Source organism: Homo sapiens, chromosome 15 (genome assembly GCF_000001405.40).
Source record: "Homo sapiens chromosome 15, GRCh38.p14 Primary Assembly".
NCBI lineage: Eukaryota > Metazoa > Chordata > Mammalia > Primates > Hominidae > Homo > Homo sapiens.
Window position 1 is genome coordinate 21,037,540 of NC_000015.10, and position 22,651 is coordinate 21,060,190.

At 44.0% G+C, this 22,651-nt stretch overlaps 1 long non-coding RNA gene and 1 pseudogene across 1 annotated transcript in view; one reads left to right on the forward strand and one right to left on the reverse strand.

Moving 5' to 3' along the window:
* FAM30C (family with sequence similarity 30 member C) overlaps positions 1-12,297 on the forward strand; it is a 46,560-nt gene extending 34,263 nt beyond the window's left edge. The window contains exons 3-4 of the long non-coding RNA NR_145444.1: positions 7,821-7,854; positions 10,322-12,297. This is a non-coding gene — a long non-coding RNA (family with sequence similarity 30 member C). The remainder of the gene's footprint in view (positions 1-7,820; positions 7,855-10,321) is intronic.
* LOC283804 (disintegrin and metalloproteinase domain-containing protein 21-like) lies at positions 15,463-17,466 on the reverse strand (annotated as a pseudogene).

Below are 22,651 nucleotides of genomic sequence, written 5' to 3' on the forward strand. Positions count from 1 at the left end.
CAAAATGATTTGATAGAGCTAAAAAACTCACTTCAAGAATTTCAGAATACAACTACAAGTATTAACCGCAGAATAGACCAAGCTGAGGAAAGAATCACAGAGCTTAAAAACTGATTCTCTGAATTAACTCAGTCAGACAAAAATAAAGGAAAAGAGAACAAAAAAGAAGGCATAAAACCTCAGAGAAATGGGTGATTATGTAAAAAGATCAGATCTATGACACATTGGTATCCCTTAAAAAGAGAAAGAGAAACAAAGCAACTTGAAAAACATTTCAGGCTATCCTCCATGAAAATTTCTCCAACCTCACCAGAGAGGCCAACATTCAAATTCAAGAAATGCAAAGAACCTCTGCAAGATATTATACATGACAACCATCCCTAAGACATATAGCCATCAGACTCTTAAAGGTTGAAAGGAAAAAAAATGTTAGAGGCAGCTAGAAAGAAGGTTCAGGTCGCATACAAAGGGAACCCAATGAGGCTAACAGTGGATGTTTCACCAGAAACTGTACAATCCAGAAGAGATTAGGGGCCTATATTCAGCATTCTTAAAGAAAAGAAATTCCAAGCAAGAATTTCATATCTAGCCAAACTAAGCTTCACAAGTGAAGGAGAAATAAGATCCTTTTCAGACAAGCAAATGCTAAGGGTATTCATCACCACTATATTTCCCTTACAAGAGGTCCTTAAGGGATTGCTAAATATGATAATGGAAGAATGTTACTGACCACCACAAAAACACACTTAAGTACATAACGATTGCCACTATAAATCAACTATACAATCAAATCTGCATATTGAGCAGCTAACAACATGATAACAGGATGAAATATGCACATATCAATATTAATCTTGAATGTAAATGGACTAAATGCCCCAATTAAAGGGCACAGAATTGCCAAGTTGGATAAAGAAGCAAGACCCAAATGTATGCTGTCTTCAAGAGACCCATCTCACATGCAGTGACATCCACAGGCTCAAAGTAAAAAAATGGAGAAAAATCAACAAAGCAAATGGAAAACAGGAAAAAGCAGGTGTTTCTTTTTTTTTAATTTTTTTATTATACTTTAAGTTTTAGGGTACATGTGCACAACGTGCAGGTTTGTTACATATGTATATATGTGCCATGTTTGTGTGCTACACCCATTAACTCATCATTTAACATTAGGTATATCTCCTAATGCTATCCCTCCCCCCTCCCCCCACCCCACAACAGGCCCCGGTGTATGATGTTCCCCTTCCTGTGTCCAAGTGTTCTCATTGTTCAATTCCCACCAATGAGTGAGAACATGTGGTGTTTGCTTTTTGTCCTTGCGATAGTTCGGTGAGAATGATGGTTTCCAGCTTCATCCATGTCCCTACAAAGGACATGAACTCATCCTTTTTTATGGCTGTGTAGTATTCCATGGTGTATATGTGCCACAGTTTCTTAATCCAGTCTATCATTGTTGGACATATGGGTTGGTTCCAAGTCTTTGCTATTGTGAATAGTGCCGCAATAAACATATGTGTGCATGTGTCTTTATAGCAGCATGATTTATAATCCTTTGGGTATATACCCAGTAATGGGATGGCTGGGTCAAATGGTATTTCTAGTTCTAGATCCCTGAGGAATCGCCACACTGACTTCCACAATGGTTGAACTAGTTTACAGTCCCACCAACAGTGTAAAAGTGTTCCTATTTCTACACATCTTCTCCAGCACCTGTTGTTTCCTGACTTTTTAATGATTGCCATTCTAACTGGTGTGAGATGGTATCTCATTGCGGTTTTGATTTGCATTTCTCTGATGGCTAGTGATGATGAGCATTTTTTCATGTGTCTTTTGGCTGCATAAATGTCTTCTTTTGAGAAGTGTCTATTCATATCCTTTGCCCACTTTTAATGGGGTTGTTTGTTTTTCTTGTAAATTTGTTTGAGTTCATTGTAGATTCTGGATATTAGCCCTTTGTCAGATGAGTAGATTGCAAAAATTTTCTCCCATTCTGTAGGTTGCCTGTTTACTCTGATGGTAGTTTCTTTTGCTGTGCAGAAGCTCTTTAGTTTAATTAGATCCCATTTGTCAATTTTGGCTTTGGTTGTCATTGCTTTTGGTGTTTTAGACATGAAGTCCTTGCCCATGCCTATGTCCTGAATGATAATGCCTAGGTTTTCTTCTAGGGTTTTCATGGTTTTAGGCCTAACATTTAAGTCTTTAATCCATCGTGAATTAATTTTTGTATAAGGTGTAAGGAAGGGATCCAGTTTCAGCTTTCTACATATGGCTAGCCTGTTTTCCCAGCACCATTTATTAAATAGCTAATCATTTCCCCATTTCTTATTTTTGTCAGGTTTGTCAAAAATCAGATAGTTGTAGATATGCGGCATTATTTCTGAGGGCTCTGTTCTGTTCCATTGGTCTATATCTCTGTTTTGGTACCAGTACCATGCTGTTTTGGTTACTGTAGCTTTGTAGTATAGTTTGAAGTCAGGTAGCTTGATGCCTCCAGCTTTGTTCTTTTGGCTTAGGATTGACTTGGCAATGTGGGCTCTTTTTGGGTTCCATATGAACTTTAAAATAATTTTTTCCAATTCTGTGAAGAAAGTCATTGGTAGCTTGATGGGGATGGCAATGAATCTATAAATTACATTGGGCAGTATGGCCATTTTCAGGATATTGATCCTTCCTACCCATAATCATGGAATGTTTTTCCATTTGTTTGTATCCTCTTATTTCATTGAGCAGTGGTTTGTAGTTCTCCTTGAAGAGGTCCTTCACGTCCCTTGTAAGTTGGATTCCAAGGTATTTTATTCTCTTTGAAGCAATTGTGAATGGGAGTTCACTCCTGATTTGGCTTTCTGTTTTTCTGTTATTGGGTTATAGAAATGCTTGTGATTTTTGCACATTGATTTTGTATCCTGAGACTTTGCTGAAGTTGCTTATCAGCTTAAGGAGATTTTGGGCTGAGACGATGGGGTTTTCTAGATATACAATCATGTTATCTGCAAACAGCGACAATTTGACTTCCTCTTTTCCGAATTGAATACCCTTTATTTCCTTCTCCTGTTTGATTGCCCTGGCCAGAACTTCCAACACTATGTTGAATAGGAGTGGTGAGAGAGGGTGTCGCTGTGTTGTGCCAGCTTTCAAAGGGAATGCTTGTAGTTTTTGCCCATTCAGTATGATATTGGCTGTGGGTTTGTCATAGATAGCTGTTATTATTTTGAGATACATCCCATCAATACCTAATTTATTGAGAGTTTTTAGCATGAAGCGTTGTTGAATTTTGTCAAAGGCCTTTTCTGCATCTATTGAGATATCATGTGTTTTTTGTTGTTGGTTCTGTTTATACGCTGGATTACGTTTATTGATTTGTGTATGTTGAACCAGCCTTGCATCCCAGGTATGAAGCCCACTTGATCATGGTGGATAAGCTTTTTGATGTGCTGCTGGATTCAGTTTGCCAGTATTTTATTGAGGATTTTTGCATCTATGTTCATCAGGGTTATTCGTCTAAAATTCTCTTTTTTTTGTTGTGTCTCTGCCAGGCTTTGGTATCAGGATGATGCTGGCCTCATAAAATGAGTTAGGGAGGATTCCCTCTTTTTCTATTGATTGGAATAGTTTCAGAAGGAGTGGTACCAGCTCCTCCTTGTACCTCTGGTAGAATTCGGCTGTGAATCCATCTGGTCCTGGACTTTTTTTGGTTGGTAAGCTATTAATTACTGCCTCAATTTCAGAGCCTGTTATTGGTCTATTCAGAGATTCAACTTCTTCCTGGTTTAGTCTTGGGATGGTGAATGTGTCGAGGAATTTATCCATTTCTTCCATATTTTCTAGTTTATTTGCATAGAGGTGTTTATAGTATTCTCTGATGGTAGTTTGTATTTCTGTGGGATCAGTGGTGATATCCCCTTTATCATTTTTTATTGCATCTATTTGATTCTTCTCTCTTTTCTTCTTTATTAGTCTTGCTAGCGGTCTATCAATTTTGTTGATCTTTTAAAAAAAACCAACTCCTGGATTCATTGATTTTTTGAAGGGTGTTTTGTGTCTCTGTTTCTTTCAGTTCTGCTCTGATCTTAGTTATTTCTTGCCTTCTGCGGGCTTTTGAATGTGTTTGCTCTTGCTTCTGTAGCTCTTTTAATTGTGATGTTAGGGTGTCAATTTTAGATCTTTCCTGCTTTCTCTTGTGGGCATTTAGTGCTATAAATTTCCCTCTACACACTGCTTTGAATGTGTCTCAGATATTCTAGTATGTTGTGTCTTTGTTCTCATTGGTTTCAAAGAACATCTTTATTTCTGCCTTCATTTCGTTGTGTACCCAGTAGTCATTCAGGAGCAGGTTGTTCAGTTTCCATGTAGTTGAGCCGTTTTGAGTGAGTTTCTTAATCCTGAGTTCTAGTTTGATTGCACTGTGGTCTGAGAGACAGTTTGTTATAATTTCTATTCTTTTACATTTGCTGAGGAGTGCTTTACTTCCAACTATGTGGTCAATTTTGGAATAGGTGTGGTGTGGTGCTGAAAAGAATGTATATTCTGTTGATTTGGCGTGGAGAGTTCTGTAGATGTCTATTAGGTCTGCTTGGTGCAGAGCCGAGTTCAGTTCCTGGATATCCTTGTTAACTTTCTGTCTCGTTGATCTGTCTAATGTTGACAGTGGGGTGTTAAAGTCTCCTATGATTATTGTGTGGGAGTCTAAGTCTCTTTGTAGATCTCTAAGGACTTGCTTTATGAATCTGGGCGCTCCTGTATTGGGTGCATATATATTTAGGATAGTTAGCTCTTCTTGTTGAATTTATCCCTTTACCATTATGTAATGGTCTTCCTTGTCTCTTTTGATCTTTGTTGGTTTGAAGTCTGTTTTATCAGAGACTAGGATTGCATCTCCTGCCTATTTTTGTTTTCCATTTGCTTGGTAGATCTTCCTCCATCCCTTTATTTTGAGCCTATGTGTGTCTCTGCATGTGAGATCGGTCTCCTGAAAACAGCACGCTGATGGGTCTTGACTCTTTATCCAATTTGCCAGTCTGTGTCTTTTAATTGGAGCATTTAGCCCATTTACATTTAACGTTAATATTGTTATGTGTGAATTTGATCCTGTCATTATGATGTTAGTTGGTCATTTGGCTCATTAGTTGATGCAGTTTCTTCCTAGCCTTGGTGGTCTTTACAATTTGGCATGTTTTTGCAGTGGCTGGTACAAGTTGTTCCTTTCCACTTTTAGTGCTTCCTTCAGGAGCTCCTGTAGGGCAGGCCTGGTGATGACAAAGTGTATCAGCATTTGTTTGTCTGTAAAGGATTTTATTTCTCCTTCACTTATGAAGCTTAGTTTGGCTGGATATGAAATTCTGGGTTGAAATTTCTTTTCTTTAAGAATGTTGGATATTGGCCCCCATTCTCTTCTGGCTTGTAGAGTTTCTGCTGAGAGATCAGCTATTAGTCTGATGGGCCTCCCTTTGTGGGTAACCCAACCTTTCTCTCTGGCTGCCCTTAATATTTTTTTTTCATTTCAACTTTGGTGAATCTGACAATTATGTGTCTTGGAGTTGCTCTTCTCGAGGAGTATCTTTGTGACATTCTCTGTATTTCCTGAATTTGAATGTTGGCCTGTCTTGCTAGGTTGGGGAAGTTCTCCTGGATAATATCCTGCAGAGTGTTTTCCAAATTGGTTCCATTCTCCCTGTCACTTTCAGGTACACCAATCAGACATAGATTTGGTCTTTTCACATAGTCTGATATTTCTTGGAGGGTTTGTTTCTTTCTTTTTACTCTTTTTTCTCTAAACTTCTCTTCTCCCTTCATTTCTTTCATTTGATCTTCAATCACTGATACCCTTTCTCCCAGTTGATCGAATCAGCTACTGAAGCTTGTGCATTCATCACGTAGTTCTTGTGCCATGGTTTTCAGCTCCATCAGGTCATTTAAGGACTTCTCTACACTGGTTATTCTAGTTAGCTATTCATCTGATCTTTTTTCAAGGTTTTTAGCTTCTTTGCAATGGGTTCCAACTTCCTCCTTTAGCTCGGAGTAGTTTGATCATCTGAAGCCTTCTTCTCTCAACTCGTCAAAGTCTTTCTCCATCCAGCTTTGTTCCATTGCGGGCGAGGAGCTGCGTTCCTTTGGAGGGGGAAAGGCACTTTGATTTTTAGAATTTTCAGCTTTTCTGCTCTGTTTTTCCCCCATCTTTGTGGTTTTATCTACCTTTGGTCTTTGATGATGGTGACGTACAGATGGGGTTTTCATGTGGATGTCCTTTCTGTTTGTTAGTTTTCCTTCTAACAGTCAGGACCCTCAGCTGCAGGTCTGTTGGAGTTTGCTGGAGCTCTACTGCAGACCCTATTTTGCTGGGTATCAGCAGCAGAGGCTGCAGAACAGCGAGTATTGCTGAACAGCAAATGTTGCTGCCTGATAATTCCTCTGGAAGCTTCATCTCAGAGAGGCACCCGGCCGTGTGAGGTGTCAGTCTGCCCCTACTGGAGGGTGCCTCCCAGTTAGGCTACTTGGGTGTCAGGGACCCACTTGAGACAGTCTGTCCATTCTCAGATCTCAAAGTCCATGTGGGAGAACCACTACTCTCTTCAAAGCTGTCAGACAGGGACCTTTAAGTCTGCAGAGGTTTCTGCTGCCTTTTGTTCAGCTATGCCCTGCCCCCAGAGGTGGAGTCTACAGAGGCAGACAGGCCTCCTTGAGCTGCAGTGGACTCCACCCAGTTTGAGCTTCTGGGCCACTTTGTTTACCTACTCAAGCCTCAGCAATGATGGGCACCCCTCCCCCAGCCTCGCTGCCACCTTGCAGTTTGATCTCAGACTGCTGTGCTAGCAATGAGCGAGGCTCTGTGGGTGTGGGACCCTCCAAGACAGGCATGGGATATAATCTCCTGGTGTGCCGTTTGCTAAGACCATTGGAAAAGTGCAGTATTAGGGTGGGAGTGACTGGATTTTCCAGGTGCCGTCCATCACCACTTCCCTTGGCTAGGAATGGGAATTCCCTGACCCCTTGCACTTCCTGGGTTAGGCAATGCCTCACCCTGCTTCAGCTCACTCTTGGTGGTCTGCACACACTGTCCTGCCCCCACTGTCCAACAAGCCCCCATGAGATGAACCCAGAACCTCAGTTGGAAATGCAGAAATCACCCGTCTTCTGCATAGCTCATGCTGGGAGCTGCAGACTGGAGCTGTTCCTATTCAGCCATCTTGGAACTGCCCCCTCATAGATTCTTGATATTAGACCTTTGTCACATGCTGATGTGGTTTTGCTCTGTGTCATTAAACAAATCTCATCTCAAATAGTAATCCTCGGCCGGGCGCGGTGGCTCACGCCTGTAATCCCGGCACTTTGGGAGGCTGAGGCGGGCGGATCACGAGGTCAGGAGATCGAGACCATCCCGGCTAAAACGGTGAAACCCCGTCTCTACTAAAAATACAAAAAATTAGCCGGGCGTACTGGCGGGCGCCTGTAGTCCCAGCTACTTGGGAGGCTGAGGCAGGAGAATGGCGTGAACCCGGGAGGCGGAGCTTGCAGTGAGCCGAGATCCCGCCACTGCACTCCAGCCTGGGCGTCAGAGCGAGACTCCATCTCAAAAAAAAAAAAAAAATAGTAATCCTCATGTGTCAAGGGATGGACCTGGTGGGAGGTGACTTGGTCATGGGGGTGATTTCCCCCATGCTGTCCTCATGGTCTCCTGATAGTGAGTGAGTGCTCATGTGATCTGATGGTTTTATCAATGTATGGTGGTTCCTCCTTCATTCCCTCTCTCTCTCTTTCTCTCTCTCTCTCTGTCTCTCACCTGCTGCCATGTGTCACATGCCTGCTTCCACTTCCACCATGATTGCAAGTTTCCTGAGCCCCCGACCCTAACCACACAGAACTGTGAGTCAATTAAACCTCTTTTCTTTACAAATTATCCACTTTTGGGCAGTTCTTTATAGCACTGTGAAAACAGACTAATATAGTAAATTGGTACCAGGAGTGGGGAACTGTTATAAAGATAACTGAAAATCTGGAAGCAACTTTGGAACCGGGTACCTCCTGACAGAGGTTGGAACAGTTTGGAGAACTTGAAAGAAGAGGGGAAGATGTGGGAAAGTTTGGAACTTCCTAGAGACTTATTGAGTGGTTTTGACTAAAATGCTGATAGTGACATGAACAGCGAAGTCCAAGCTGAGCTGGTCTTAGATGGTGAGGACTAAACTCTGATTTTTTTTTTATCTTGCCCAAATTCCTATCTAAAGAGTCTGGGGAGGCATGCTCTACAAATCATAAATTCTCATCAGATAGGTTTTATTTAAACCTATATATCATGATTTACTTTCCAAACTGACTCTGGCATAACATTATGAGACAAATAAGAAAATCAAAATATTTTACCCCAAAACATGTTTCTTTGCCATACTCTGAGATGGCCCTGCAGGCCGGGCATGGTGGCTCATGCCTGTAATCCCAGCACTTTGAGAGGCTGAGGTGGGCGGATCACCTGAGGTTGGGAGTTCGAGACCAGCCTCACCAACATGGAGAAACCCTGTGTCTACTGAAAATACAGAATTAGCCGGGTGTGGTGGTGCATGCCTGTAATCGTAGCTACTCAGGAGACTGAGGCAGGAGAATTGCTTGAACCCAGGCAGTGGAGGTTGTGGTGAGACAAGATCGTGCCATTGTACTCCAGCCTGGGCAACAAGAGCAAAACTCCCTCTAAAAAGAAAGAAAGAAAGAGAGAGAGAGAGAGAGAGAAGGAAGGAAGGAAGGAAGGAAGGAAGGAAGGAAGGAAGGAAGGAAGGAAGGAAGGAAGGAAAGAGAAAGAAAAGAAAGAAAGAAAGAAAGAAAGAAAGAAAGAAAGAAAGAAAGAAAGAAAGGGCCCTGCAAAGCTGTTCTTTGTGGGGGAAAATTTGCATCTGTAAAGAATCTCTATTAACATGGCTAGATCTTTTTCTTCTAGAACCTCCCAATCCTAAAGAGTTGAACTAAGATCTGAATAGGAAACATTTGTCACCTATTATCTCTAAGGGCAGCCACTATAAGACTTCAAAAGAACTTTGGACTCTAGAATCTTTATCTTAACCTGAACATTACCTTTCTATCTATCCCAGGTCTTTAGACAAACTCAACCAATTGTCAACCAGAAAATGTTTAAATTCACCAATAGCCTGGAAGCCCTCGCTTTGAGTTGTTCCACCTTTCTGGACCAAACCAATGTATCTCTTAAATGTATTTGATTGATGTCTCATGCCTGTATAAAACCAAGCTTGATGGAATTTTTCCCTGCCCTAGAAATCTGTGGAACTTTGCCCTTGAGAGAGATGATCTGAAATAGGAACTTATGTTTAAAAGGGAAACAGAGCATAAAAGTTTGGAAAGTTTGCAGCCTGGCCATGTGGTAGTAAAGAAAAACACATTTGCTAGGGAGAAATTCAAGTTGGCTGCAGAAATTTGCATAAATAATGAAGAGATGAATATTAATAACCAAGACAATGGGGAAAATGTTTCCAGGCCATGTCAGAGATCTTTGCAGCAGCCCTTCCAATCACAGGCCTGGAGGCCTATCAGGGAAAAATGGTTTCATGGGCTGGGTCCAGGGCCCAGCTGCTCTTTGGAGCCTTGGGACTTGGTGCCCTGTGTCCCAGCTGCTCCAGGTCTAGCTGTGGCTAAAAAAGTCCAATGTACAGCTCAGGCCATTGCTTCAGAAAGCCCCAATCATTGGTGGCTTCTACATGATGTTGGGCCTATGGGTGTGCAGAAGAGAAGAGTTCAGCTTTGTGATCCTCTGCCTAGATCTCAGAGGATTTATAGAAATGACTGGATGTCCAGCCAGAAGTCTGTGCCAGGGGCAAAGCCCTCATGGAGAGCCTCTGCTAGGGCAGTGCAGAAGGGAAATGTGGGGTTGGAACCCCCACACAGAGTCCCCACCGGAGACAGTGACTAATGGGGTTGTGAGAAGAGGGCCACCATCCTTCAGACCCCAGAATGGTAGATCTATTAACAGCTTGCACTGTGCACCTGGAAAAGCTGCAGGCACTCAATGAGAGCAGCCAGGAGGGCTGAACTCTGCAAAGCCCATGAGAGCAGCCATGGGATCAGAGCTGCAAAGCCACAGGGTGAGAGCTTCCCAAGGTTGTGGGAGCCCCCACTTTGCATAAGCATGCCCTGAATGTGAGGAATGGAGTCAAAGGAGATTATTTTGAAGCTTTAAGATTTCATGACTGCCCCACTGGAGTTTGGGCTTGCATGTGACCTGTAGCCCCTTTATTCTGGCCCATTTCTCCCAACTGAAATGGGAGCATGTATCTAATGCCTGTACCCCCATTTTGTCTTGGAAGTAACTGACTTGTTTTTCATTTTACAGGTTCATAGATGAAAGGGACTTGCCTTGTCTCCAATGTGACTTTGGATTTGGACTTTTGAGTTAATGCTGAAATGAGTTAAGATGTTGGGGGACTGTTGGGAAGGCACGATTGGTTTTGAAATGCAAAGAGGACATGAGATTTGGGAGGGGTTGGGGTGGCGTGATCTGGTTTGGCTGTGGGTCTCTACCCAAATGACACCATTCCTCAGGGTGATCAGCGAGCTACCTGATGGCAGGTTGGATTATATTGGACCTCTTCCATCCTGGAAAGGGCAGAGGTTTGTCCTCACTGAAATAGACACTTACTGCAGATATGCATGCAATGCTTCTGCCAAGACTACCATCTGTGGAGTCATGGAATGCCTTATCCACTGTCACAGTATTCCATATAGCATTGCCTCTGACCAAGGCACTCCCTTTACGGCTAAAGAAGTGTGGCAGTGGGCTCATGCTCATGGGATTCACTTGTCTTACCATGTTCCCCATCATCCTGAAGCAGCTGGATTGATAGAAGAATGGAATGGCCTTTCAAAATCACAATTACAATGCCAACTAGGCTCCAATACTTTGCAGAGCTGGGGCAAAGCTATCCAAAAGGCCATGTATGCTCCAAATTAGCATCCAACATATGGTACTGTTTCTCCCATAGCCATAATTCATGGATCCAGGAATCAAGGGGTGGGAGTGGAAATGGCACCATTCACCATCACCCCTAGTGATCCCCTAGCAAAATTTTTGCTTCCTGGTCCCATGACATTACATTCTGTTGGCCTAGAGGTCTTAATTCCAGTGGGAATAATGCTGCCATCAGGAGAAACAACAACAATTCCATTAAACTGGAAGTTAAGATTTCCACCTGGCCACTTTGGGCCGCTCCTACCTTCAAGTCCACAGGCTAAGAAGGGAGTTACAGTGTTGACTGGGCTGATTGACCTGAACTATCAAGATGCAATCAGTCTATTACTCCACAATGGAGGTAAGGAAGAATATGTATGGAATACAGGAGATCCATTAGGGCATCTCTTAACATTACCCTGCCCTGTCATTAAGGTCAACGGGAAACTACAACAGCCCAATCCAGGCAGGACTACAAATGGCCCAGACCCTTCAGGAATGAAGGTTTGCATCACTCCACTAGGAGAAAAAACTCTACCTGCTGTGATGCTTGCTGAAGGCAAAGGGAATACAGAATCGGTAGTAGAAGAAGTAGTCATCAATACCAGCTACAACCACGTGATCTGTTGCAGAAATGAGGACTGTAATTGTCATCAGTATTTCCTTCTTCTTTTGTTAAAAACATGTTTGTGCATGTACACACTTGTACTAAGAAAATTCCTTCATTTTATTTCTTTTTTCCTTTATCATGTGACATAAAATTTATTGACTTCATATCAGCATTTAAGTGTTCTTAACTTTACATAATAGCACTTGGGTTGGGGATTGGTGCATTTCTGGTTGTACAAAAGATAGTTGTATTACATTAGGTGTAATTATGACCTTATTATTGTCTTTATTTGAAGATTATGTATGATCTCAGGAGATTCGTATGGGTTCAAGTTGACAAGGGTTGGACTTGTGATGGTTAATACAGAGTGTCAACTTGATTGGATTGAAGCATGCAAAGTATTGATCCTGGGTGTGTCTGTGAGGGTGTTGCCAAAGGAGATTAACATTTGAGCCAGTGAGCTGGGAAAGGCAGACCTACCCTTAATCTTGGTGGGCACCATCTAATCAGCTGCCAGTGTGGCCAGGGTATAAAGCAGGCAGAAAACATGAAAAGACTAGACTGGCTTAGCCTCCCAGCCTACATCTTTCTCCTGTGCTGGATGCTTCCTGCCCTCGAACATCAGACTTCAAATTCTTCAGCTTTGGGATTCGGACTGGCTTCCTTGCTCCTCAGCTTGCAGGTGGCCTACTGTGGGACCTTGCAGTTGTGTGAGTTTAATACTCCTCAATAAACTCCTACATATATATAATATATAATACATATTATATATTATATATATACATACTAGGGTTCTCTAGAGGGACAGCACTAGATATATATATATATAGTTTCCATAGTCTGTGGTGTAAACTATGTGAAATGGTCTTTACAACCTCCTGAAGGGTAACACCCAGACTGTCACCTGAACTCCCTGAAATCCTGTGCCCTGGGGATTGGAGAAACCTTAAAACCAAAGCCAGTGTTAAGTTAGCTCAGTCTTTGATTAAACATGGCAATCTCCCTATACTTGGCTTCCAGGGGTGGGTGAGGGAGAATTCCTGCCTGGAACAAGGTCGCATTACAAAGAATCTTCACAATGCTCATGAGACATCTTGGACCTTCCATCAGAAGCATTCAGGATGGCAGGAGACTGGCCATGATGAGCAAACATGGGGAGAGGAGGAAGGAAACAGAGAATGGAAGGAGGTGACAGCTGACAAGGCCTTGTGTTCCCAGATGCTGAGTGTGAAATGAAGCGTTTATGATGAAGGAAACAGAACAGATGTACGGTACAATATTAAATATAAAACAGTAAATTACAGCAGGTGGCTTCACAGCAGCTTAGACACAGCAGAAGAGAAGAGGATGGAATTGGAAGATCGATGCTCAGGACGGATGCAGAGTGAAGCCGAGGACCCGGCAAAGAGGATTTGGGAGTTGCAGGCTCTGGCAGAGGACCCACCCCAGAAAGAGAGAAGGAGGGGGTGGGAGGAAGAAGGAATGTTTGAAAGTGCTCCATAGAGAACCAGGACAGCCCCTTGGGCCAAGCAACCCACGACCCTTGCAGCTTCAGAAGTCCAGACTCCAGCCTGGCCTCACATGCTGGTTGGTCTTATCCCTGCCAGGCCAGAACCCTCTTCAGAACCCAGAGCCCCCACAGCTCTCCCTCACCCTATTCCCAGGACATGTCTCCTGTGTACTCTTCCCTGGCCCACAGGTGGGAGTTTACACCTGCTTGGGTAGCCTCGGCATCCACACCAACAACCCGGTAGCAGTTGTCCTGCTCCCTCCACCTGGCACAGCTCGAATCTCCCACAGTGCAGGCCCCGTGTATAGGAGTGATTAGGACACACAGGAGGGCAGGTCAGGACAACAGGTGCTGAGGCAGGCAGATTTCGAGGATTTAAGTGCTGATGCTCTTGGAAGACCATTTCCATGGGGTTAATTGTGGTTTTTCTTGGTGAACTGTTGGCTTGTTTTTGATATTGTTGTTGCTCTAAATAGTGTTTACCTGGCTTCAATACAAACTCTATTGGTCATGTTCTTTGTTAAAATATGTATCATTCTAAAAGTTCACATGGCATTAGATTTTTTGCTCAAACTACCTATAATATTTCTCCAACAGAGTGCACATTTGCCTTCCTTCTGCACATACCACCGCCCCCTGCGCTGAGCAGTGTCCCAGTGGGTCCATCTGTTTAGGGGGTGAGGAAGGGGACACAGGCCCTGACACAATGTGGGGCTGTGCCAAGCTTGGTGGTCTTGCACGGGCACTGAGTGGGTGGGCCCTGGAGAGAGGGGAGGTCATTCCCCCAGGGAACCCCCCAGGCCACAGGGAAGAGGTCAGCTGGGTGCATGAGGTGGAGGGTGGAGATGCATAAAGGGTGGGACGGGGCCTGCTGTTCTATCAGCAAAACCCCTCACACCCGAAGGACACACAGGGCGAGGGCATTGTATTCACTGACCTCACACTTCACTGTCCATTAGCGTTCACCCACAAAATAATAGAACACCCTGAGAGAGGCACAGGAATGCATTACTCGCATTTTTATGACAGCTGAATGGAGGAAATTTCTAAGCAGGTTCAGAGAAAGGATATCAAGCTGTGTTTGGAGAAAGGGGTGGGAATTCTAAACAATATCTGTGGAAGCAGGACATCTAGAACCACAGATGTATTCAGAAAAATGCTAGATCTCAGTACTACTCTAGAATACCAGCAGTTTTCTGTTGATGGTATGGGAAGGGTGATATCTTCCGTTGGTGGGCTTTGCCTTTGACATTCTCTGTGACATATCTACACTGCATTTTAAACGTCAATATTATTGTGAATTGTAAGTTAAAATAAAATGTTATCTCATTCAGTTATTTATACATTTAACTTCCATTTTCCTTTACAACAACTTAGCGACACACCTAGCCCTGTTTTCCACCCAGACCAGCCTGTGCTGCTACAAGCCTGGTTTCTCTTCCTCATCATGACTTACTCAGCTTCCCTTCCTGTTTCAGTTCAAGAAAATGTGGGGGCAAGAAGAAAGGGGGCAGCTGCCACTCACAGAGCTCACACTAAATGACAGACAGCTTGCCCTCACGTCTACCTATTTTTCTAGTTGAATTTCATTGCTTGCAGCAATCAACCTGAGGGATTCATTTTCCCACATACGGGAAGCTCGGCCCCAGGTAGGGGGATTTGCTTGGTGGGGGATTTGAACCCAAGTCCCTCTCACTGCAAAGCCCACAGCACCCCTGTAAGGAACAGACAGGGAACAGGGAGTAGCCCTGGATCACCCTAAACTGACTTCGGGTTTAGAGAAGGACTGATTACCTGGGGAATGAGGAAGCTTATTGCTCTGGAGCTCTCTTCTGGAGAAATGTCATGAACGTGCCCTGTAAGGAGCTGGTGGCAACTTCCGTTAATTCCGGGACCAGCGACCTCAGGTCAAGAGCCAGATGCTCATTCATGTCTCTCCAGGCCAGAGGTTCTGGCCAAGTTTGGGCTCCCAGAGGAGTCTAAGAAAATGTGGAAGGCACCAATGTGTGTTTTTGAAGATTTATTTCAGAGTGAACATCAGCGACCTACAAGAACCTGGGATAGAAGCCAATGCCTCCCCTTTCCCTGTGACGTGAGACAGGACCATGTGCCTCCTGTGGACTTCAAGAAATGTGGACTTGAGCTTTGCCATCCCTTCGCCTGATCCTATTTCATAGATTTTGCTGTTATATTCTCTGTATCTTTACAGGGATCGGGAGGCTGAATTAGTCTTATTCAGGGTTAGTAACTGTCTCTTCCTAACCGGTGGTGGTCCTGATAAGTTTGCACATTTGTGGCTGTCCCAAAGAGCAGTGCAATTATGAAGGCGTAAATACGACCAAAGACCACTCTCAGATACATCTCTGATTGTTGGCTTTGTCTGAGAGAACATGTTCTTTTTGGAGGTGGCCCGCTGTCGACACTCCCACCAGCACCTCTTCTTAGGCACAGTGGAGGATCCCAGCCTATATGGCAATGGCAGTTCCTTCTGTTGTTGCAGACCCCTCTATGACTGCACTTCTCAAGGCGACAGTCGTAGCCCAGTGAAGTGATAGTTGCATTGCACCGGGTGTTATTACAGAAGTTTCCATGAACACAAGGAGTGCCATCTATCACACGCCCAACATCAGTCATGTCTGTTGCATGGTGTTCATCCAGTCTAAAACACTGAAACCCTCCTCTCACTGAGTGATGGAATGAAACATGTTCCTGCAGCTGGGGAAGATGGGTCACATTGGTACACTGCAGTCCTCCACAAAACTTATCTATTCCTGTACAAGCCTGGTAGCTGAGATATGTTTGTTGTCTAATACAATGTCCAAATCGGTAGCTTTCAAGATTTATGTCATAGCAGACCTTAGGAGCATCCTCAGCACTGACACCAAACATCGCCTTGCAGAGCACATTGCGGTCAGTGCAGTTCCCATGATAACAGTAGCCTTCTTCCATGCACAGGGTTCCATCTTGCATATAAAAGTTTGCTGGGCATGTCACGGTGGTCCCGTGACAGTACTCTGGAAGGTCACATATATTTTGGATAGGTCTGCAGAGAGTCCCTGGTGGGGAGAAGCTGAAGTTTGTACAGCACTCTCCTATATGACAGGTGCTCCCCGGTGTTAAGTGACAGTCACTTTGGCAGCAATAACTGGCATAACACTGCTTGAAGGAGCCACAGTCACATTCCTCCCTCCCCTCCACTATGAGGTTTCCACAGCGAACCGTTGTCATGGTTTCATTATACACAGGAGAAAGTGTTTTGAAAACACACCGGCCTGGACGTATAAAACAATTTCGTGCATGTCCATAAGAACAGTTACTGAATGCATCTGTCATCCCAGGAAATCTCTGCATAATGCAGGAGGCCCTTCTCTAACATGTGCAGTAGTTATCATCATACTCCAGACCAATACTTCTCATCTGTGTCTGGGTTATTATGATGGCTACCAATAAATAATGTCTGCCTAGAGTACCAATGTGTAATAGGCCTAAATGTGTACAGAAGCTATACCTTTCAGGTTCATAGTTGGATTCATGTGGTGCGTCTTTAATAAGTAGTGTGGATGAATGAACATGAAAAGTATCAAAAAAGGTTGTTTTAAAATAGGTAAACATTGCACTCTGAATTCGATATTGATTCACAGGGGCTGGGTCACGATTATTATATATGGTCAAAAGATAAATATAGTACCACAGATCAATATTTTGAACAATGCTGTCAATGAGACTGAACATCTGGACCACCTCTTTGGAACAGGTGGTAATATTGCCATATATATGATAATATGAATTGGAACATTGAACGTGGCCCTTTATATTGCCTCTATGAGAACTATACAGCGAATTAGATATCCTGGGATTCATGCTGTTATTTGCTTCAGAGAACAGGGGGTCTGTCTCCTCATTGTCACCATCTCTAAATGTGGGCACCGTTGCATTGGGCTCAGCCACTATCTGAGAAACAACATGTTCAAACCTGCGGGAATCCTGGAGGGGTTTGATTTCGTAGGCAAGGTCGTCCAGCTTCATGATGCCTCTGAGGCCCCCATAGCACGTGTCGATGGTGACCATGGACTGAGGCACCTCCTCCAGGTAGCCGAGGTAGTAGCAGTCTGGTGGAATGTAGGGGCCATCCATCGGCAAGGCTCCTTGGTCATCCTGAGTTGTCACCAGCAGATGTCTGGGCCAAAGAAGGTGTTTCCTCCGCATGTGAATGACGTGTCTTTGACCCCCAAAACGCAGGCTGTGGGACAGCCAGCCGGGAAACTGAAGGCCTTTGCCGTGGTGCGTCTCCTTCCTGGGAATCACCACCTCGGAGGAGGCGTAGTGCCACAAGGGACGGCCTTGAGAACACCGGACTGGAGCCAGGAGCGCCCAGAGCCCCAGCAGGAAGAGGGGGGCCCTAAGGGTGACCCGCACCTCTGCCTGCCTCATGTCCCAGCCCAGCAATAATTACCCAACGACAATGGGAAAGGAAAGGACTGTCCTCGGTGAAGCCAGGCCCCAACCAGCTGCGGTGGCTGCGTCCCTCCCAGGGAGACCCTGACAGAGAACAAAGGGCCTCCCCAGGCTCCCGCACCAAACCGCGGGGCACCTGGACTCTGGGAGGGAATGAGGTAACAGTCCCAGGGAGGGGCAGGAGGTGGGTCTGGACAGGACGGCAGCTGCTGCACTGCGGGATGAGGCTGAGGGTCACGGCTGTGAGGGCTCATTGGGAAGGGAAAAGGGAGAGGGAAGCAGGGCTGTCTCTTTTACCACCGTCAATCTTTTCTGTTGCTTTCTGAATCTACAAAATGCAATGATGTGTGTTCAATGCCCTCGCATCACCCGTGTTATTCTCGGTCACTCTGTGGGTTAATATGCTCCTTTCTGTGGCTTACACTGCTTACTCCTTTGTCATGTGGAGGTGGGCACTGCCAATATTTTCCTTGGGGACTGAATGTTTTTCTACTCTTAATAAGTACCCATGTCTTATTCTTTTTGTTGTTGTATTGTTTTGTTGTGGCTTTGAAGTTTTGTTTGAAGTTACCAGATTGTGAAAGGAAAATATCTTGGGCCCCATCAAGCTGAGAACCACTCAGGGCAAATCTGCCTCCCAGTCTATTTAAAGTTGTCCCTCTGCTCACAGAGACAGATGAATATTCTCATGACCTCCTTTGCAAACACTTATCAGAAACTCAAAAGAATGCAACCATCTGTCTCTCACCTACCTGTGACCTGGAAGCCCTAAGTGGGGAGGACTTGCTTTGAGTTGTCTCAGCCTTTCTGGATGGAACTAGTGTCCTTCTTACTTATATTGATTGATGTCTCATGTGTCCCTGAAATGCCTAAATCAAGATGTGCCCGACCACCTTGAATCCAGAGTTCCTGGATTCACAAGATCAACAGTTGATATAGGGTAACTTTTTCTTCTGTGCTATGTAAAACCCTTGTGAATTATGATACTTTTTACTTAGTCCATCTATTGGGAGCAGACACTATTCCTGACCCCATGAGAGCCCCAGGTGCTGTCCCTCCGATGCTTCTGTGTGGTTCTCTCCTGGTCTTTGGTCATTTCTTCAGATGCAGGAGCTGATCAGCTCTCAGGGAAGGACAGAGGGGGCCCTCTCCGGGTGTCTCATGTCTGAGAACTAATGTTTCACATATTTCTGCTGATTCTGTCATTGCTTATGAGGGGAGGGAAAATCCAATGCCAGATCATAATCAGAAACACAAATTACTGTTTCCTCAAAAGTGTAAATATTTCCCTTTCCTGGCGAATGTGGTCACTCCATTTAAACTTAACATGACCATAGTGTGTTTCGAAGGCTGCGTTGTGTGGCACTTTGTGTTCCAATGCCCCGTACTCCCATCTTCCACCGCTTCAAATCCTGCCTTTTTACCACAAATGTACGATTACTAATGAAGCTGGTTTCCCCTCTACGAGCGTGCAGGTTGGACGCCCTTTCCCTACCCCTTTAGGGTTTTCACAGGGAGCGAAGGAAAATATTTGACATCCCTGAAGGAGGCTGTTAGGGTAGACTGTGTCCCTCCTAAATTTTTGTGCTGAAGTCCCAACCCTTGGTCCTTCAGAATGAAATCATACTTGGATCAGTGTCTTTTAAAGAGGTGAATAAGTTAAAGTGAGATTCCTGGAGTGGGGCCCTAATGCAATCTGACTGTTGTTATAAGAAGGGGAAGCAGGAGGGAGGGTGCACACGCCCTGAGGGACGGCCATGTTACCACAGAACAGCGAGAAGGCGCCATCTGCACACCAGGGAGTGAGACTTCAGAGGAAACCCACCCAGCTGGCAGCTTGATCTTAGGCTTTCATCCTCCATAAGTGTGAGGAAATTGGTTTTGTATTGTAAGCCATCCAATCTGTGGTATTTCATTATAAAAGCCCTATAAAATGAATACAGTAGGTAATAGGAGATCTTCTAAAAATTGAAAAAGTCGGATGGCCAGACAAACCTAGACACTCCTGTTCAGACCTGAGCAGGGTGATGGACCTGCTATGGGACAGGAGAGGGGAAGAGATGAACCCAGCACCCAGACCCAGCTGAGCCCATTCCTCAGCAGGCTGTCCCTGGGCCGGAGCTTGCACTGGTGTGAAAGAGTGTGTCTTGGTCTTCGGGGGCTCATGGAGTTGGACAGAGAATGGTGTAAACTCTTGCTTACACAAAAGAACAAGTCATCGGTGTGCCCGTGTTTATGTGAATGGGATGTGTTTCTAGGGTGTGCTCATCCCCAAAGAAAAATTAATCAGGTCTCTTGGGCTAGAAAGAGGTTGTGGCATTTGTGTGTATTAATAACTGCGGTCGGACAGTAAATTATGTTAAAATGCTTATGGGAAGGCACAATGGAAAGAAACAGTTTGTTACAGAAGGAAAAAAATGGTGATTATTTAAATGAGATGCCTTTGAAAGTCACCATGCCAAGAAAGCTGATCACATGATAGTGTTGGGTTTCATGTTCAGGAGATCAGGAGGGTCCATTTGCTGGCTTTTACGATACCTAGACAGAGCTGAGAGTATAATGTGTGAATGGAGGGGACGTGGAGAAAGGGGAGGCCAAATGTTTGATGGGAATGGAGGGTCACTATTGGAGCCATTAGGAAATACACAAGCATGATTTGTGCTGAAGCACAGAACAGTGTTCCTGGGGAATATTGTGTTGCTTTGGCAGCTGCTGAACATACAGAAGTTTCACTGTTCTTAGTTCTCAAATTCTCTAGACTCTCTTGGCAGCCCAGTTTTAAATATTGGGAATATAGGTAAGACACATTCGTTATTAAAAATTATTAAGAGAAGATGTAGGAAGAAGTTTAAAGTAATCCATTTAGGTTATGAAAATTTAGTTGCGGCGAACTGTGATGTCCATTTCTTACTTGGAATAATGGAATGTAAGTCATTAGTCATCTCAATGGTTCATTTTTCCATAACCATCAATTACAAAACTGCTGCGTAATTTCCTGAATTGCCCGCCATAGAAGCTGACCTCACATTTTCTCAGTGAGAAACTGCCAGTCCCGTTGATCCAGCCTCGTTCTTCCCATAGGGGATTTTGTATCTCTGTGGACATGTGGTACAATGCTGCATATCCATCGGCATATGGCCTCGGGAAAGGTTCCAGCCTATCCATGCACGATGAAGCTTACTTAAGGGATGAAGCCGGAATGCTGGGTGTGCCAGTGCCGACAGCCGAAAGAATCAACTGCCTGGTGTATGATGCTTTTATGAAAACAAGCCCAGGGCCTCTTGCTTTCTTCTGTATTAGATTCTCTGGTGAATATTTTTATTCATCTCTGCCAGAAATTGCCACATATAATTACCTAGAAGCATTACAATAAACTGATTTGGAAGTTAACTGACTTCCTGGTGAGGTTAAAATGAGTGTCAGGTGCATAGTGAGACAGACCGGAGACATGGGTGCATAGCAAACTTGTGCTCACCATGGTTTCTATCTTAGTTAGGGAAACTTCTGTACCTTCCTTAGATGTTCAGGCACTCCATTGAGGACCCTGACATAACATTATTTATTGACAGACCATAGCCCAAAGTATAGAACTGGATATTACCAAGGAGGATATACTATTACTATTTTATCTTTATCTTAAAATACACTCTTCCAACTGAGGTGAAAATTAATCCAGATGGTAGAACTTATTGCAGTTACTACAGCATTTTAGGAAATCAAAAGCTGCAGAACAAACATATGGACAGATGGCAGGTATGTTTTTGGAATCATAAACAACTTCGTGGTGATTGTAAAACCAAGGGGTGTCTCACAAGGGCTGGAAACCTCTCAAAATGAAACAACACACTGAGGATCTTTGAGAAGTACTCTGACCTCCAAGTGAGCTGGCTGATATGGAGGCTGAGCTACATGTAGAAAGCCAAAGGAATTTCTGCAGGACATCATCATGCCAAGCACAGCCGTAACCTGGGTTCCAGCCCTTTTCACACGCTCAACGGTTGGATCTTGGGAGGGAATCAAAGAAGCCATTGTAAAATATCAAAATTTAAACCCTGATTTTGAATTTAAAAAGTGTTAAAATATGGTTGTGGCCTACACTCAGAAAATCTGTGTCCTTCAGATGGTTTCTCGGTGGCACCAGATGGTTTCAAGTGGCTATTCATTAGGTTTCTCAGTGAAATTACCAGATATAGAATAAATAAATTGTCACTGTCTTAAATCAACCCATGGGAAAGGAAAACTGTATAAAGACAGCAGAGAGGAAACATTGTCCACACCAAGGAAAAAACAATCTCCAGAAACTGTTGTTGAAGAAACAGAGGCATCACACTTACTAGAAAAATATATTGTATTTCATATATTATGGGCATACAACGTGATGTTTTGATATATGCGTGCATTGTGAAATTATTAAATCAAGTAAATAAACATGTCTGTCACCTCACATACTGCTTTTTTTATGGTGTAAATGTGTAAAATCTACTCTCTTATCAGTTTTCAAGTATATATAGTACATTAGTATCACTGAGGTCTGACCATGGTGTGCAATAGATCTTCAAACGAATTCCTTCTGTCTAACCAAAACTCTGTACCCTTTCACCAGGGCCTCAGCTTTTACATCCTCCTAACGCCAGCTCCTGGTAGGCAACATTCTACTCTCTACTTCTCTGAGTTCAACATTTTTAGATTGCATGTGTAAGTGAGATCATGGAGTAATTTTTATACCAGGCTTATTTCACTCAACATAAAGACATTTAAACGCTCAACATCACTCACTAATCATCAGGGAAATGCAAATTAAAACTGGGATGAGATATCACCTCACACATCTTACAATGGCTTAGTCTGAGTCTGTTTTTGTGTTGCTATAACAGAATACCAGAGACTGGGCATTTCTTTTTTTTGAGACAGAGCCTCGCTCTGTTTCCCAGGCTGAAGGTCAGTGGCATGATCTCCGTTCACTGCCAGCTCCGTCTCCCGGGTTCACCCCATTCTCCTGCCTCAGCCTCCCGAGTAGCTGGGACTACAGGCACCCACAACATGGAGACTGGGCAATTTTTAAAGAAAAGGAATTTATACTTAACGGTACTTGAGTCAGAGAAGCCCAATATCAAGGGGCTGGCATCTGAAAAAGGCCTTC